This window comes from Homo sapiens, chromosome 1, assembly GCF_000001405.40.
Source record: "Homo sapiens chromosome 1, GRCh38.p14 Primary Assembly".
NCBI classification, from domain to species: domain Eukaryota; kingdom Metazoa; phylum Chordata; class Mammalia; order Primates; family Hominidae; genus Homo; species Homo sapiens.
In genome coordinates, this window is record NC_000001.11 from 201,424,233 (window position 1) to 201,439,780 (window position 15,548).

At 49.1% G+C, this 15,548-nt stretch overlaps 1 pseudogene; it reads left to right on the forward strand.

Moving 5' to 3' along the window:
* On the forward strand, positions 4,722-5,164 carry LOC124904582 (peptidyl-prolyl cis-trans isomerase NIMA-interacting 4-like; annotated as a pseudogene).
* The last annotated feature ends 10,384 nt before the right edge of the window (positions 5,165-15,548 follow it).

The window sequence follows — 15,548 nt, forward strand, 5'->3', positions numbered from 1 at the left end:
TGAGGTTCTGTCTGACTCAGATGCTTACTGGTCAGGGAGGACCCTTCCTAGACACAGAGCCAGAGAGAGTGCTCCTGGCCCTGGAGATCCCCAGGCAGCACCCTTTGCGCTAGGCTGAATAATGGTCCCCACAGGTGCCCGTGCCCTAATGCAAATGTGAATCTGTTACCTTATATGGCAAAGGGATTTTGCAGATGTGATTACATTAAGACACTTGAGATGGGGAGATTATCCTGGATTATCTTGGTGGGCCCCATCTAAACACAAGTGTCCTTCTCAGCTGAGTGAGGCTTGAGGAGCAAGGCTGAGAGAAGGAAATGCGATGAAGGAAGCAGATGTCAGAAAAGATGCTATGCTGCTGGCCTTGATCATGGAGGGAGGCCATGAGCCAAGGAATGCAGGCAGCCTCTAGAAGCCAAAAAAGGCCAGGGAACGGCTTCTCCCCTAGAGCCTGCAGGGGGAAGCAGGCCTCCCACCACCTTGCCTTGCAGCCCAGGGAGACTGACTTCAGACTTCTGCCCTCCAGAACTGTAAGATAATAAACTTGGGTTATTTGTGCTGACTTGCCACAGCAGCAATGAGAAACTAATACATTCTTCGGTGCCTTGATGGGCCCTGGACTTCATGGTTCCGGCTGTGCTTAGGACCAGTCAGGAAAACAGTGACCTGGGAGGGTCAGTGAAACAAACCAGCCCAGGTTTCACAGCAAGGCAGCCCTGAGGAAGAGTGGGCCACAATCCAGCCCCACCAGGGCCTGGCCTTCCAGAAAGCCAGCTCTGATCTTGCCGAGAGCATTGCAGGACGCCAGAGCAGGAAGACCGTCCAGTCCAATCCATGTGCCCGTGAGGAAATCGAGGCCCCTCGAGGAGAGGCCACAGGGTGAGGGGTTAGGTCTCCTAACTCCCAGCCCAGTGCTCTGTCACGCTGCCCACAAAGCAAAGACACTTCCCTAACCTTAACTTTAGCCCAATTCAAATCCTAAAACTAACCCTCCTTTTTTTTTTTTTTTTTTTTTTTGAGATGGAGTCTCGCTGTGTCACCCAGGCTGGAGTGCAATGGTGCAATCTCAGCTCACTGCAAGCTCTGTCTCCCAGGTTCACGCCATTCTCCTGCCTCAGCCTCCCGAATAGCTGGGACTACAGGCACCTGCCACCACGCCCGGCTACTTTTTTGTATTTTTAGTAGAGACAGGGTTTCGCCGTGTTAGCCAGGATGGTCTTGATCTCCTGACCTCGTGATCCACCCGCCTCGGCCTCCCAAAGTGCTGGGATTACAGGCGTGAGCCACCACACCTGGCCCTAACCCTCCTTTTAACCCCAGTATAATCCCTGCCCCTGTCTTTATCCCTAACCTACTAGAACCTTCACCTTCTTGCTCTCTACTCTCTTGCTTGGTTTACTGAGGTGGCCGCTTGTGCTCTCAATCCATTCTGCACACAGCATGCAAAATGCCAAAACTGACCTTGTTCTAATTCCTAATCCAGCTTCATGTCCAAGCCCTACTCTATACCACATGAGTTTCCCCTCATTGCATTGGCCTAGCCTTATTGCAGGCCTTCTAGACACTAAGCTGAATTTAGGTTCACTGCAGAATTGATCCAGCTATGCAGCATCTTCTCTGAACCTTGGCTTCCTCATTTGTAAAGCGGGTTAAGGGTGTGCAGGGACCTGAGGCTGAGCCTGGCTTCCATGGGGTCCCCCTCCCTGGGACAAGGCTGCTGGCTTTCCCTTAACCTCTTTTTAAAAATATTTTTTTAATTTTTTATAGAGGTGGCATCTCCTTATATTGCCCAGGTTGGTCTTGAACACCTGGGCACAAGCAATCCTCCTGCCTTGGCCTCCCAAAGTGCTGGGATTACAGGCATGAGCCACCATGTCTGGCCCCCTTTATCCTCTTTCAAAGTCCAGGTAGAGGCTGAGGCAGCCTTGACCAGAATCCAGGCCTCAGGAGAATGGCCTCTGTGGTCAGTACCCTCTCAGATCTTCTGTGACTGCCCAGCTCAATGGAAATGGATGGAAGAATTGCCAGGAGAAGGAGTGAGAACCAGAGCTGGCCAGATCGCGGGAGGAAAAGGCAAGTCCAGGAAAGAGGGATGGTGAGATGGGCATCGGTGAGAGGGGAAGGCCTGGAGGGGTTTCCAGCCTCTAGTGCCACTGACTCCCAGTGTCATCCTTGTCCCTCCCGGGGCTGGGGAGGCCACGGGGCAAGGGAAGGAAGTGTCTGGCCAGAGGAGCTAAGCCTTGTAAGGCCGTGGGTTGTGGAGTCAGGGCCTATCACCTCAGAGGCTGACACCTGTCAGCCCTGGCTGCCCTGGCTTGGTTTGGGAAGCACAGAAGCCCAAATTAGCAAGTGACAAAGCCCAGACCATCTGTCTTCCCGGCGGCCCCTCCCGACACCGGCCCTCCCGCTACTACTCAGGGGCATTCGCTTCAGTGACAGCCAACCCCACACCCCTCCCCGCCTTCTCTGCCCACCCCCTGTTAAGCCCATCGTGGTTCCAGGGCCAGCTTTCTGTGGCTGAGTTCTGAGAGGGGGCAGGGCTGGGGGCTGAGGGGACTAGAGCAGAAGGAACAAAGAAACCAAAAGCTGTCACCCTCAATTTTTCACCACAAATCAGCCCCACATGAAGGTTTGTGGCATTAGAGACAGCATAGTGAGGTGAGTCAACACATGACTTTGGAAGTAGACGGCTCTGCCACTTGCCAGGAACACTCACTAGTGAAACTTAGCAATGTATCCCTCTGAGCCTCCACTTCCTCATCTGTAAAATGGGGATAATAATGGTGCCCACCCGGGGGGTTGCTGTGAGGTTCCTATGAGGTGCTGTGTATAAAGGGCATTGCAAAGGCCTGGCACAAGGCAAATGCTGAACAAATGTTGGTTCTTAGTATATACCCCTCGAGGCCTCACACTAATGTTCTGAGGTAGGCACTATTACTTACCCTACTATACCCACGAGGAAACAGACTCACAGTGGCTCAGCAATAACCCAGGGTCCCACAGCAAGGATGACGCAGAGCTGAGAGCTGCACCCAGCTCTCTGGTGCCAAAGTCCGTGCTCCTGCACACAGTAAGTGTTCAGTAAATGGGGGCCATCGCTATGACTTTAATGTTCTCATCTTCAGCCAACACTGTGGTTCCCACAGGGAACTTGGAATGGACCAATGTTGTGACCCCAAAGCTCTGTATAATTCATCCCAACATTAAACACAGTAAATGGGCTGAGCATGGTGGCTCAGGCCTGTAATCCCAGCACTTTGGGAGGCTGACACAGGCAGATGGCTTGGGCTCAGGAGTTTGAGACCAGACTGGGCAACATGGCAAAAGCCCCGTCTCTACAAAGAATACAGAAGTTAGCCGGGTGTGGTGGTGCAAGCCTGTGCTCCTGGCTACTCGGGAGGCTGAGGTGGGAGGATTGCTTGAGCCCAGCAGGAGGTCAAGGCTACTATGAGCCGAGATCACATGCCACTCCAGCCTGGGTGACAGAGTGAGACCCTGTCTCAAACAAAACAAAAAAAAACGTAAGTGATGGTTTGAATGACTGATTCTTGATGTACCTATTGTAAGAGGTTTGGCTGTGTAATAACAAATAATATTAGCCACTCTTTTTAGCACGGGGACACCATGAGAGGAGGCTCTTCTTCCCCTCCAGGAAGGCCTGGGTGGGGCTAGAGATGGGGTGAGTGGAAGTGAAGGAGAGGCAGGGCAGAGGGAAGAGGCTGAGGGTCTTGTGAGTCCCTGCAGGTCCCAGCACTGGGCAGGTGGGGGTACATCTCTCACCCTCTGCACCCTCCACACACCTCCCCATGCCCCGACCCCCCCCCCCCCACACCCGCCACCCTCTGCCAAACCTGTTGCTTCACTTCTCTCTTGAACTACTTGCTCCTTGAGCTCAGCATTGCCACACCCTGAATTCTCTTCTGGCTCATCTGGCTTCTCCCATCAGCCCAGTGCTAGAATGAAGGAGGAAGGCCCAAAGACCACCCCCACTCCCGCCCCAGGTTCCCTTTTTCTGTGCTGCCGCTGAGCCTCCACACCCTGAGCCCGGGACTGGCAGTGCCTTGACAGGCCCCCACAAAACAGGCTGCCTCTCCAGGAATCCCCATAATAAGTCGGTGGGGCTGACCCTGTATGTCCAGGGACTGGGGGATGTGGAGGACAGTGATGGAGAGTGAGCCAGCAAATTGGGTGTAGACCCCTCCCTAGAAACTAATCATTTTCAAGCTGGCACGTGAGCAGTTAGCAACCCTGGGAACTGGGACACCCGGTCACTGTGTCTCTCTCCCAATTCTGCCCCACGCTACCCACCCACCAGGTTCCACCCAGCTCTCCCGCACAGGACTTTCTGTCTCTGATGCTCACTTGGTTCTAGGCATTGCCTCCCCTGTGTTTTTGGGTGCACAGTTCTACCTTCCCTCTGAAAAGGCTGTCCCCAGGGGCAGCTGATGGGGCTTCTCCCCTCCATCTGTTCACTCTGGACCCAGCATGGTGTGCAGCAGAACAGGCCTCTGCCCACTCCCCCACCCACCCCCAGTGGTTTTCAAACCCTTATAGGGCATCCGAATTTTGAGGGGGGCTTGTTAAAACACAGATTCTGGGCCTCACCTCCCCAAATTTCTGATTCAGCAGGTCTGGGATGCAGCCCAGAAACTTGCATTTCTAACAATTTCTCAGGTGGTGGCCTGAGGACCTCCCTTGAAGAACCACTGAGGCAGTTGAGACTTCAACAGCAAGTTTCCAGGATGCCACCCAAAGGAACAAGTGGTTCTGGAAAAGGGGAAAGTGGAAGCAACCTCTGGGAGTGACAGTGCTGGCAAGAAGGCTCAGGGTCCCAAAGGCGGTGGCAATGCAGCTAAGGTCAGACACACTCTGTGTGAACAACATGGCAAAATCACGGCAGTCATGGAAAAGTTAAAGTCTGGGATAAGATTCAATGAAGCAGCCTCACAATATAGTGAAGATAAAGCCAGGCAAGGGGGCGACTTCGGTTGGATGACGAGGGTCCATGGTGGGGCCATTGCAGGACGCAGCATCTGTCTTGCCTGTAAGTGGGATGGATAAGCCTGTATAACATCCACCAGTTAAGACAAACTTTGGATATCATATTATTCTGGTTAAAGGAAGAAAATATAATCATAGAAAGACTGAAAAAAAAAACATCTAAAAGCAGCCCTTCTAGGCAGACACAACACTTTTGTCTGTGCTCACCCCTCAGTGGGGCCCCTGAACTGGGCATGGGCAGCCCCTGCCCTGGTCCATCCCCCATGCTGCCCTCCCCACCCTACGCTTCAGACCCAGAGAACTCTGGAGCCCCCCAAACACTCTTTATCAGGCACCAACCCAGGCCTTGGGGTACGATGATGAACCTTGGCTCCTGTCCCCGCCACTGTCCTCAGCACGGTGCCGGCCTCTTGGATGGTTTGGGCAGCTGGACACAGCCCCTTGACGTTCCTGATCCCCTCATACCGTGCTCACTCCATTCCCATCTTCCCATGCAGCAGATGGCGAGGGACAGAAATTATTTTCTTCTTTGCCAGAGGAACGCACTTAGTGCCAGGGCTAAGAGAGGAGAGGGAGTCCGTGGGGACGGCATCCCAGCCTGCCGTCCTTCCCTGGGGCCTGCTGGGGCAGTTTGGCCCACTCCAGCACCAGGCCCATGTGCCCAGCTGCCTGGGCAACACCCTGGCTCAGGCACCGCCAAGCCCCTCCTCACTCGATGGCCCCACCCTGAACCCCATCTGCTCCCTTCCTCTTCTCCCTGTCACACAAAGGCCCAGCCACAGCCGCTGAGCCAAACTAGAAATCTGAGGGTCCCCCCCTCTGCTCCATTCCCTTCCTCCTCGCAGCCAGGAGAGCAGCAAGTCCTGTCCTGCTCCCCTCGAGGCCTCCTAACCTGCCCTCCTCCACAGACCCACGCCACCGTATCTGTTTGAGCCACTGTCTTCTGCCAGCTTCATGGCAGCAACCTCCTCACCGCTCCAGCTGACTGCTCCGGAAGCCTCTCCATCCCACTGCCGCCCGAACCACCTTCCTTCAATGACAATATGAGGATAAAATGCAAACCTGTGGTCAAGTCACATGCGCTTCTGTGATCACACCCTTGCAGCTTCCCTAGCCCCTATGCCCCCTGGTCCCAGCTGCACAGAACTATTCAACATCCCCAGATCACCAGAGGCTTCTCCAAAGGCCCTTCTCTCCCAATCCACCTATACTCCTACCCTCCTCCAAGTCTCAGTGGAGCACTGACTCGTCCAGGAAGTCTACCCTGGCCACCCGACTGCACTAGGAGCCGCTCCTCCAGGCCCCATAGCCCTGTATGTCCCTCTTTCTACATGGCATCCACAATACTGAAGTCATCTATTTACTCATCTGGGAGAAACTTGAGTGTCAACACTATGTCTTATGCAGTTTTATATTCTCAGTGACCACCACAGTGCCTGACACATAGTAGATGCTCATCGAATAAACGAATGGACAAGTAACCAACACAGAAAGGCACCTTCTGGCCAGACACAGTGCAGGAAATTTGCCTTTCATGGCTCAGGAGGGATCTTTGCTTGTTTCTCAGGGTCCTGAAATAAGGCTAGGAGGCTCATGGCTAAGGGTACAGGGAAAGGGCCGTCTGAGAAGCCATCTGTTTCAAGTTCTTGGCACCTGGAGTGTCTGGGCACCAGATGCCCCCTCTCCCAGAGAGAAGCAGCCGCAGCCACTCACTGACCTTGACATAGGTGATGAACTGCTCGCCCTCCAACAATGTGCTCGGACACACATAGAAACAACAGCTGGGCACTGGGCCTTTGTTGTTGTTAAACTTAGGCCCTGGGAGGTCACCCTGAACTATGACCACCCCCTCCACCCTGTGCCCAGCCTGGGGCCAGAAATGTCAGGGGGAAGCAGGTGCCAACACAGACAAAGAGCCCTGCCCTTGTTTCTGGTGTGTATCCCCACCTCCCTGGCTGCTTCCTCCTCCCGCTCCATTCTCCTCCAAAGCCCCATAACTCCACAGACCCCAGCTGTCCTTCTTCCCTGCTCTCACGCCCTTGCCCCCACCCCATGACTGTTTTGCAGGAGGCTTGGGGAGGAATTGAGAAGGGTGGGACCTTCTCAGTCAGCAGATCTAATGAAGATCCTTCCAGACCCTAGCCAGGATAGGACAACCTCTCCAAAACTCTGAGGCTGGGCTGAGCCTCTTTCTGAGGATAGGGCTTTCATGGGGTCTCACCCTGTTCACAATGGGGCAGGGGGAGGGGCAAGCTGCTACCCTCCTCTCTGTGCAAGAAAGAGGAGGCCTCCCTTTGCTTCCTTATACATGCAGACTCCCAGCCACACTTCAACCCATCTCTTTGCTGCTCATCAGGGCTCAGCTATAGGAAAATTGGTAACACAAAGCCCAGCTCCAAGGTGCTCACTGTCAGTCCAGCAGGGAACGGGACTGCAGACATATAACTACACCCAGAGTGCATCTGCTGCAGCAGAGGCTGGAAACCAAACGGGGGCCTTGGGAGCTGGGGGTGGAATGAATTTCCCCAGCCAAAGCAGGAGGTGGAGAGGGATTAGGCCCCCTAAGACAGACCCCTCTCCGCCCCGTCACAGACTATCCTGGGTTTGCGATGTGGTAATGCTTCTCGAAGAGTGGTCCACCAACTCCTGGGGGTACCATATTTATCTTTGCATTGGATTGGCATGTGGGCTGATAGTGCGAAGGCAATGGTGGGTAAAACTGGTGACTTATTCTTTCCCATGTTGCAGTCATTGGGGCCAAAAAGCCAGTTTTATTTAAGCGTCCTTGATGAAACAGAAAAAAATGTTAATTGTATTAAATTAAATATGTTTAGAATATAGAGCACTTCTGCCATAGACCAAAGTATATGGAATACATATCTATATATCTGTGTAAGCTATAAGTGCTGTATTCCATCATAAAACATCTTTTTTTTTTTTTGAGACGGAGTTTCGCCTTTGTTGCCCAGGCTGGAGTGCAATGTCACAATCTCGGCTCAATGCAACCTCCACCTCCAGGGTTCAAGCGATTCTCCTGCCTCAGCCTCCCAAGTAGCTGGGATTACAGGCATCCACCACCACACCTGGCTAATTTTGTATTTTTAATAGAGACAGGGTTTCTCCATGTTGGTCAGGCTGGTCTCGATCTCACAACCTCAGGTGATCTACCCACCTCAGTCTCCCAAAGTGCTGGGATTATAGGTGTGAGCCACTGCGCCCAGCCAAGGCATCATTTTTACTTGAGAAAAGGACTGATTGAAAAACTATTGTCTGGATGCAGTGGCTCACACTGGTAATTCCAATACTTTGGGAGGCCGAGGTGGGAGGATTACTTGAGCCCAGGAGTTTGAGACCAGCCTGGGGAACATGTAAGACCTCATTTTTACAAAAATTACAAAAATTAGCCAGTCATAATCGTGTGCACCTGTAGTCTCAGCTACTTGGGAGGCTGAGGCAGGAGGATCACTTGAGCCTGGGAGGTCGAGGCTACAGTGAGCTAAGATAGCACCACTGCACTCCAGCCTGGGCAACAGAATGAAATCCTATCTCAAAAAAAAAAAAAAAAAAAGGAAGGGAAGGGGAGGGGAGGGGAGAGGAGGAAAGGGGAGGGGAGGGGACTATTGGCCGGATGCAGTAGCTCATTCCTGTAATCCCAGCACCTTGAGATGCCAAGGTGAAAGGGTCACTTTAGTCCAGGAGTTGGAGACCAGCCTGGGCAACATGGAGAGACGTCGTCTTTACAAAAAAGTGCAAAAATTAGCCACGCGTGGTGGCACATGCCTGTAGTCCCAGCTACTCAGAAGGCTAAAGTGGGAGGATCACTTGAGCACAGGTGGTCGAGACTACAGTAAGCTGAGATCAAGTCACCATACTTTAGTCTGGGCAACAGAGGGGCACCCTGTCTCAAAAAAAAATAAAGAGATGAGAAAAGAAAAAGAAAAACTGTTAATTGGACTTGACTATTTTCTCAAAAATGAACAAAGTAAGCCTGTAACTTTTTTTTTTTTTTTGAAACAGAATCTTGCTCCGTCACCCAGGCTGGAATGCAGTGGCCCAATCTCGGCTCACTGCAGCCTCCACCCTCCAGGTTCAAGTGATTCTTGTGCCTCAGCCTCCCGGGTAGCTGTGATTACAGGCATGCACCATCACGGCCAGCTATTTTTTGTGTTTTTAGTAGAGACGGGGTTTCACCATGTTGCAGGCTGGTTTCAAACTCCTGACCTCAGGTGATCCTTCAGACTCACCCTCCCAAAATGCTGGGATTACAGGCATGAGCCACCGCACCCAGCCTAAGCCTGTAACTCCAAGGAAAACAGTTCAGAGTACTTGTTGCCAATTATAAAATTCAAGCTTTCCAACAAAAATTTGAATCTTGAAAAGTTCTATCTGCCATCATGAGCTTGACAGGTTCCCAAACACGTAAAGACTTTTCAGATAAGATCAATGGTGATATTAAGAATGTAATTGTTTATCATTGTTTAATGTATGAAATGCATCAACATTTGGAAAATATGCATAACTCGGAACATCAATATCCTCCAAATGACCAAGGCATAATGTCACAAAATCCAGAGTATTAAAACTTTATTGATAGGTTTCAGATTGTACATTGTAGCTAACCCTTAAGAAACTCCCACTTATCGAGTTTTGATGTAGTACCCAAGAATATCCACAATTCTCTGAAAATGCTATTAAAATACTTCTCTCAGCCGGGCACAGTGGCTCACTCCTGCAGTCCCAGCACTTTGAGAGGCTGAGGTGGGCGGATCACGAGGTCAGGAGTTCAAGACCAGCCTGGCCAACATGGTAAAACCCGTCTCTACTATAATACAAAAATTAGCTGGGCATAGTGGCGTGCACCTGTAATTCCAGCTACTCAGCAGGCTGAGGCAGGAGAATCACTTGAACCAGGGAGGTGGAGGTTGCAGTGAGCCAAGATCATGCCATTGCACTCCAGCCTGGGCAATAGAATGAGAATCTGTCTTGAAAAAAAAACTTCTGTTTTCTGACTACATATCTATGCAAGACTAGATATTTTTTTGTTGTATTTCTAACAAACAGATTGATTGCAAAGCAGATATGAGAATCCAACTGTTTTCTATTAGGCCAGACAAGTAAAAGGATTTGTAAAAATGTAATAAAATGCCACTCTTCACTAGGTATTTCTGCTCTGTAATTTTATCACAAAACCTTTTATTTATATTAAATAATATTTTATTTGTATTTATTTTTTACATTATAATGTATAATATATTGTTACATTATTTATGACATATAATAAAATAAGTTAACATGTAAAATGGACTTATTATAGTTACTAAATGAATTAATATATTTTAGGCTGGGTGCGGTGGCTCACACTTTTAATCCCAGCACTTTGAGAGGCCGAGACGGGCAGATAACTTGAGCTCAGGAGTTCAAGACCAGCCTGGCCAACATGGTGAAACCCCTGTCTCTACTAAAAATACAAAAATTAGCCAGGCGTGGTGGCACATGCCTGGAATCCCAGCTACTCAGGAGGCTGAAGCATGAGAATCGCTTGAACCCAGGAAGCGGAGGCTGCAGTGAGCCAAGATTGTGCCACTGCATTCCACCCTGGGCAACAGAGCAAGACTCTGTCTCAAACATATATATGTTTACCTTTTTTCTCAGTTTTAATTTCTGATATGGAGAATATTGATAGATTTAACTGACTTAAACAAAAGGTCTTTGGAGTCCTTAACAAAGGGTGTAAAGCGGTCCTGGGTCTCCCTCTCTTGCCTAGAGTGTCACAAACTCCTAGGCTCAAGCGATCCTCCCACCTTGACCACACAAAGCATTGGGATTACAGGTGTAAGCCACTGCACCTGGCCAGGCGTATAAATGTTTCATTCAAAGTTGGTGACCCGGGGCTGCTACACTGAGACCTGACTTTACACCCTTTATTATTAATCTGAGAACAACATTCTATGTTTTTAGCAGATTATTATTGTTATTATCCTGATTCACATTATCATCTACAAAATAACATAAAAGATGAAATAATCAAGAAAACATAAAGTATGATTTTTAATTATGTCCAATGGCAGCCAATAACAGGATTCAACCAATAATTTTTTTTTTAAGACGGAGTCTTTCTCTGTAACCCAGACTGGAGTGCAGTGGTGCAACCTTGGCTCACTGCAACCTCTGCCTCCCATATTCAAGTGATTCTTCTCCCTCAGCCTCCCACGTAGCTGGGACTACAGGCGCCAGCCACCACGCCCGGCTAATTTTTGTATTTTTAGTAGAGACGGGGTTTCACCGTGTTGACCAGGCTGGTCTCAAACTCCTGACCTCAGGTGATCTGCCCACCTTGGCCTCCCAAAGTGCTGGGATTACAGGAGTGAGCTACCGCACCCAGCCCAAGAATTTTTAATATCCAAGTTATTGTGTGTAAGATCAGTCATTGCTAGTGAGCTCCAGGTATTTTGTGGTTTAATAAAATGCCCTGAAGGCACTGCATGAAACAGTGGCATTATAAAACTGTGAATTTTGTTTCAGTACTCCGTGTGGGTTATGTGAGAAAAACCTGGCATTGGCTGACCTAGTCCCGGGAGCTGTATTTCTATTCCTGGAATAAAGAGATAAAGTTCTTCTTCTTGCCACCAGAGGGAGCATTGGTGAGCCTTGGTGCATGTGTGTGCATGTGTGTGCGCGTGCCTGTGTGTGTGTGTGTGTGTGTGTGTGTGTGTGTGTGAAGAGAGAGAGAGAAACAGAGAGAGAAAGGGAAAGAACGTGTGGGTGACTTGTTTGTGACTGACTATATGCCTGAGATCGCTTGGGTGTGAAATTTTCAAAGTGGCTGATTGTATGTGAATGTCCCTCCTCCCTCCACCCACATGATAAACAATCAAAAGTGTTTCCAGTCCCAGCCTCTTATTCATCACTCCCTGAACCTTCCCTGCACGCTTGTTCACAGCTAGGTGATCTGGGTGGATTCCAGGGCTAAAGCTTGGAGAGCAACAAATACAGTTCATGTGAGAGAAGCGTCTTGCAATGCAGTTACTGTAACTCCAACATAGTTGCTTTGGACCTGTCTATCTTTCTTAAAGTGAGGTCTCCCTGTAATCCCAGAATTCCCTTGAGGATCTAAGTGTTCTATGGTTCTTAACTTTTGGAAGGGGGTTCAAGCTTCCTTTGAAAACTTTTGCAATGCAAAAGCATTCACACACATCATTTTGAAAAGCCAAAAGCTATTCCACACCAATTCCAGCGGGCTCAGAGACCCTCTGGAACCCATTCAAGGACACACATGGGAAGGAGGCCTGTAGTGTGTGCACAAGTGTCTCTAAAGACTTCAAGATGCTTCATCCCAGGAAGAGACACCAGCTGCAGTAGCCCCTGCTCCTCTCTGGGCGTGGCCAACAGTGACACTGAGAAGTGGAGAGAGCTTGGAGAGAAGGCGGCTGACCCTAGAGGGAGGTGTGGAGCCAGGAGTGAGTGGATGGTCCCTGATGCCTCAGGAGACCGAGGTATGAAGAAAATTCCCGTTTCCACTATTGAAGGATATTGAGGTTCCCAAGGTGCCTTGCGGAGTCCAGGGAGCCAAGAATCTCACAGCCTGTAACAAAATGATATTCACTCCCAACTCCAGGTGCAGCCACCTCAGAATAATTCAGGGGGTTCAGCCTGGAGTGAAGTATACTCTTGCTATACCCTCCCTGGTATCCTCTCCACCTACCTTGATAAATGTGAATTTTTTGTGATGCAGTCTAAAATCCAGACAGAAGGGAAGCCTGCTTTTCCTGCCTTGTTGGCCACATGAATATATAAAAACTCCCCAAACATTTATAATACATGCAATAACGTGTTTTAATGTCATACTGAGAAGGTAGTGATTAATTCTCTCAGAGGGGACTCAAGAGAAGATTTGCAGGGGGCATAAGCCCTGAGCCAGGTTTTGTAGGATGTATAGGAGTTCATCAGGCAACCAAGGACAAAGGGCACTACAGACCCAAGGAACAGCCTGGCCACGGCACAGTGGCCTAAGAAAGCATGGTGTGTGGGGAACTCTAGCAAGTTTACTCTCACTATGGAAGAGACGAAGGTTAAGAATAAGCCCCAAGGGGCATGGATGTGTTTTGTTTTGTTTTGTTTTGTTTTGTTTTGTTTTGTTTTGTTTTGTTCTTTGGAGACAGAGTCTCACTCTGTCATCCAGGCTGGAGTGCAGTGGTGCAATCTTGGCTCACTGCAACCTCCCCCACCCCAGTTCAAGCGATTCTCCTGCCTCAGCCTCCCGAGTAGCTGGGGCTACAGGTGCCCACCATGCCTGGCTAATTTTTGTATTTTTAGTAGAGATGGGGTTTCACCATGTTGGCCAGGCTGGTCTCGAACTCCCGACCTCAGGTGATTCACCCTCCTCAGCCTCCCAAAGTGCTGGGATTACAGGTGTGAGCCACCACACCCAACCATTGATGTGTTTTAAAGGGAGGCAGAGGAAGAAACTCAGAAGAGGAGAGAAAAAGAGACAGGGCTAGAATAAGATTAGTATGATGTCACAGAAGTCAAGGGGAGACAGAGTCCTGAAGGGACTATTAATATAGTTAATTAATGTGATATTATTAATTTTATTAATAATTAATATAACACTAAAGTCCTCAAAACCCTCTCTGGAAAAAAGCATAGGCCACAGATCCTACCGTGGTTTGTGTTTCTTTTTCCTAAGCGTGTCCTCAACCTTGGCAAAATAAACTTCTAAATCGACTGAGATCTGTCTCAGACACTTGTTGGTTTACAAAACATACAATGCAAACAACAGAACAAAACATCAAAAAACTATGATTAATATTTCCAAAGACAGAGAGATAATATTGCACCCATGAAATGGGAAGAGAATCCATACAAAAAAGGAAAAAATAACATTCAGAAAACAAAAGGAACTCTTTCTCATTCTTTTTTTTTTTTTTTTTTTTTTTTGAGACGGAGTCTGGCTCTGTCGCCCAGGCTGGAGTGCAGTGGTGCGATCTCGGCTCACTGCAAGCTCCACCTCCCGGGTTCACGCCATTCTCCTGCCTCAGCCTCCCGAGTAGCTGGGACTACAGGCGCCCACCACCACGCCCGGCTGATTTTTTGTATTTTTAGTAGAGACGGGGTTTCACCGTGTTAGCCAGGATGGTCTCCATCTCCTGACCTCGTGATCCACCCGCCTCGGCCTCCCAAAGTGCTGGGATTACAGGCGTGAGCCAACGCGCCCGGCAAGAACTCTTAATAATTAGGAATATGACAGCAACAATAACATGTTAATTGGAAGGGCTAGAAAATAAAGTTGAAGAAAGATTCCAGAGGCACAAAAAAAGGATGGAAAATAGATCAAGAAAGATAAGAAAATTCAAGATCATCCAGGAAGTCCAATATTTTACTACTTGGAACTCCAGAAAAACAAAACAAAGAGCTGGAAATGGAGATAGTTACCAAAGAAATTGAACGCACAACGTTCCAGGGGCTAGGGCTTACCAAGTCCCAGCTGTATTATTCACAAAGACCTAAGGCACGGGAGACAAAGAGAAGACACTTGAAACTTCCAAAGAGAAAAATGGGTCACATACAAAAGATTCAAAGTTGGATAGTTTTAGGCTTCTCAAGAGCAACACAGGAAACTAGAATACAATAGAAAAATCTCTTTAAAAAATTTTTTTTTTCTTTTTTTTGAGACAATCTCCCTCTGTCACCCAGGCTGGAGTGCACTGGAACAATCTCGGCTCACTGCAACCTCCGCCTCCCGAGTTCAAGCAATTCTCCTGCCTCAGCTTCCTGAGTAGGAAGGATTACAAGCACGCACCACCACGCCCAGCTAATTTTTGTATTTTTAGTAGAGATGGGGTTTTGCCACACTGGCCAGGCTGGTCTCAAACTCCTGACCTCAAGTGATATGCCCATCTTGGCCTCCCAAAGTGCTGGGATTACAGGCATAAGCCACTGCACCTGGCCCAAAAATTCTAAGAGAAAATAATTTTCAACTAGAATTCTATGTATGCCCAGGTAAATTATCAATTAACTGTCAAGGTAGAAGACAGATATTTTCTGGCTGGGTGTGGTGGCTCATGCTTATGGTCCCAGCACTTTGAGAGGCTGAGGCAGGCGGATCACTTGAGCTCAGGAGTTCAAGACCAGCCTGGCCAACATGGTGAAACTCCCGTCTCTACTAAAAATACAAAAATTAGCCAGGCGTGGTGACACATGCCTGTAATCTCAGCTACTCTGGAGGCTGAAGCAGAAGAATCACTTGAACCAGGAGGCAGAGCTTGTAGTGAGCCGAGATGGTGCCACTGCACTCCAGCCTGGGCAACAGGGTGAGACTCAGTCTCAAAAAAAAGAAAAAAAAAAGAAGCAGAAGAAAGATATTTTCATATATGCAAAGTTTCTAAATTCTCTTGCCTCTTTTCTCAGGAAGGTACTAGAGATTGGGTTTCACCAAAACGAAGGAGCAAATCACCAAAAGGCAGGCATGGGGTTCAGGGAATTTGGGATCCTGTAGGTAAGAGGCAAAGGAAATTCCCAGGACAGTGGAGAGGGAAGCTCTAGGATCA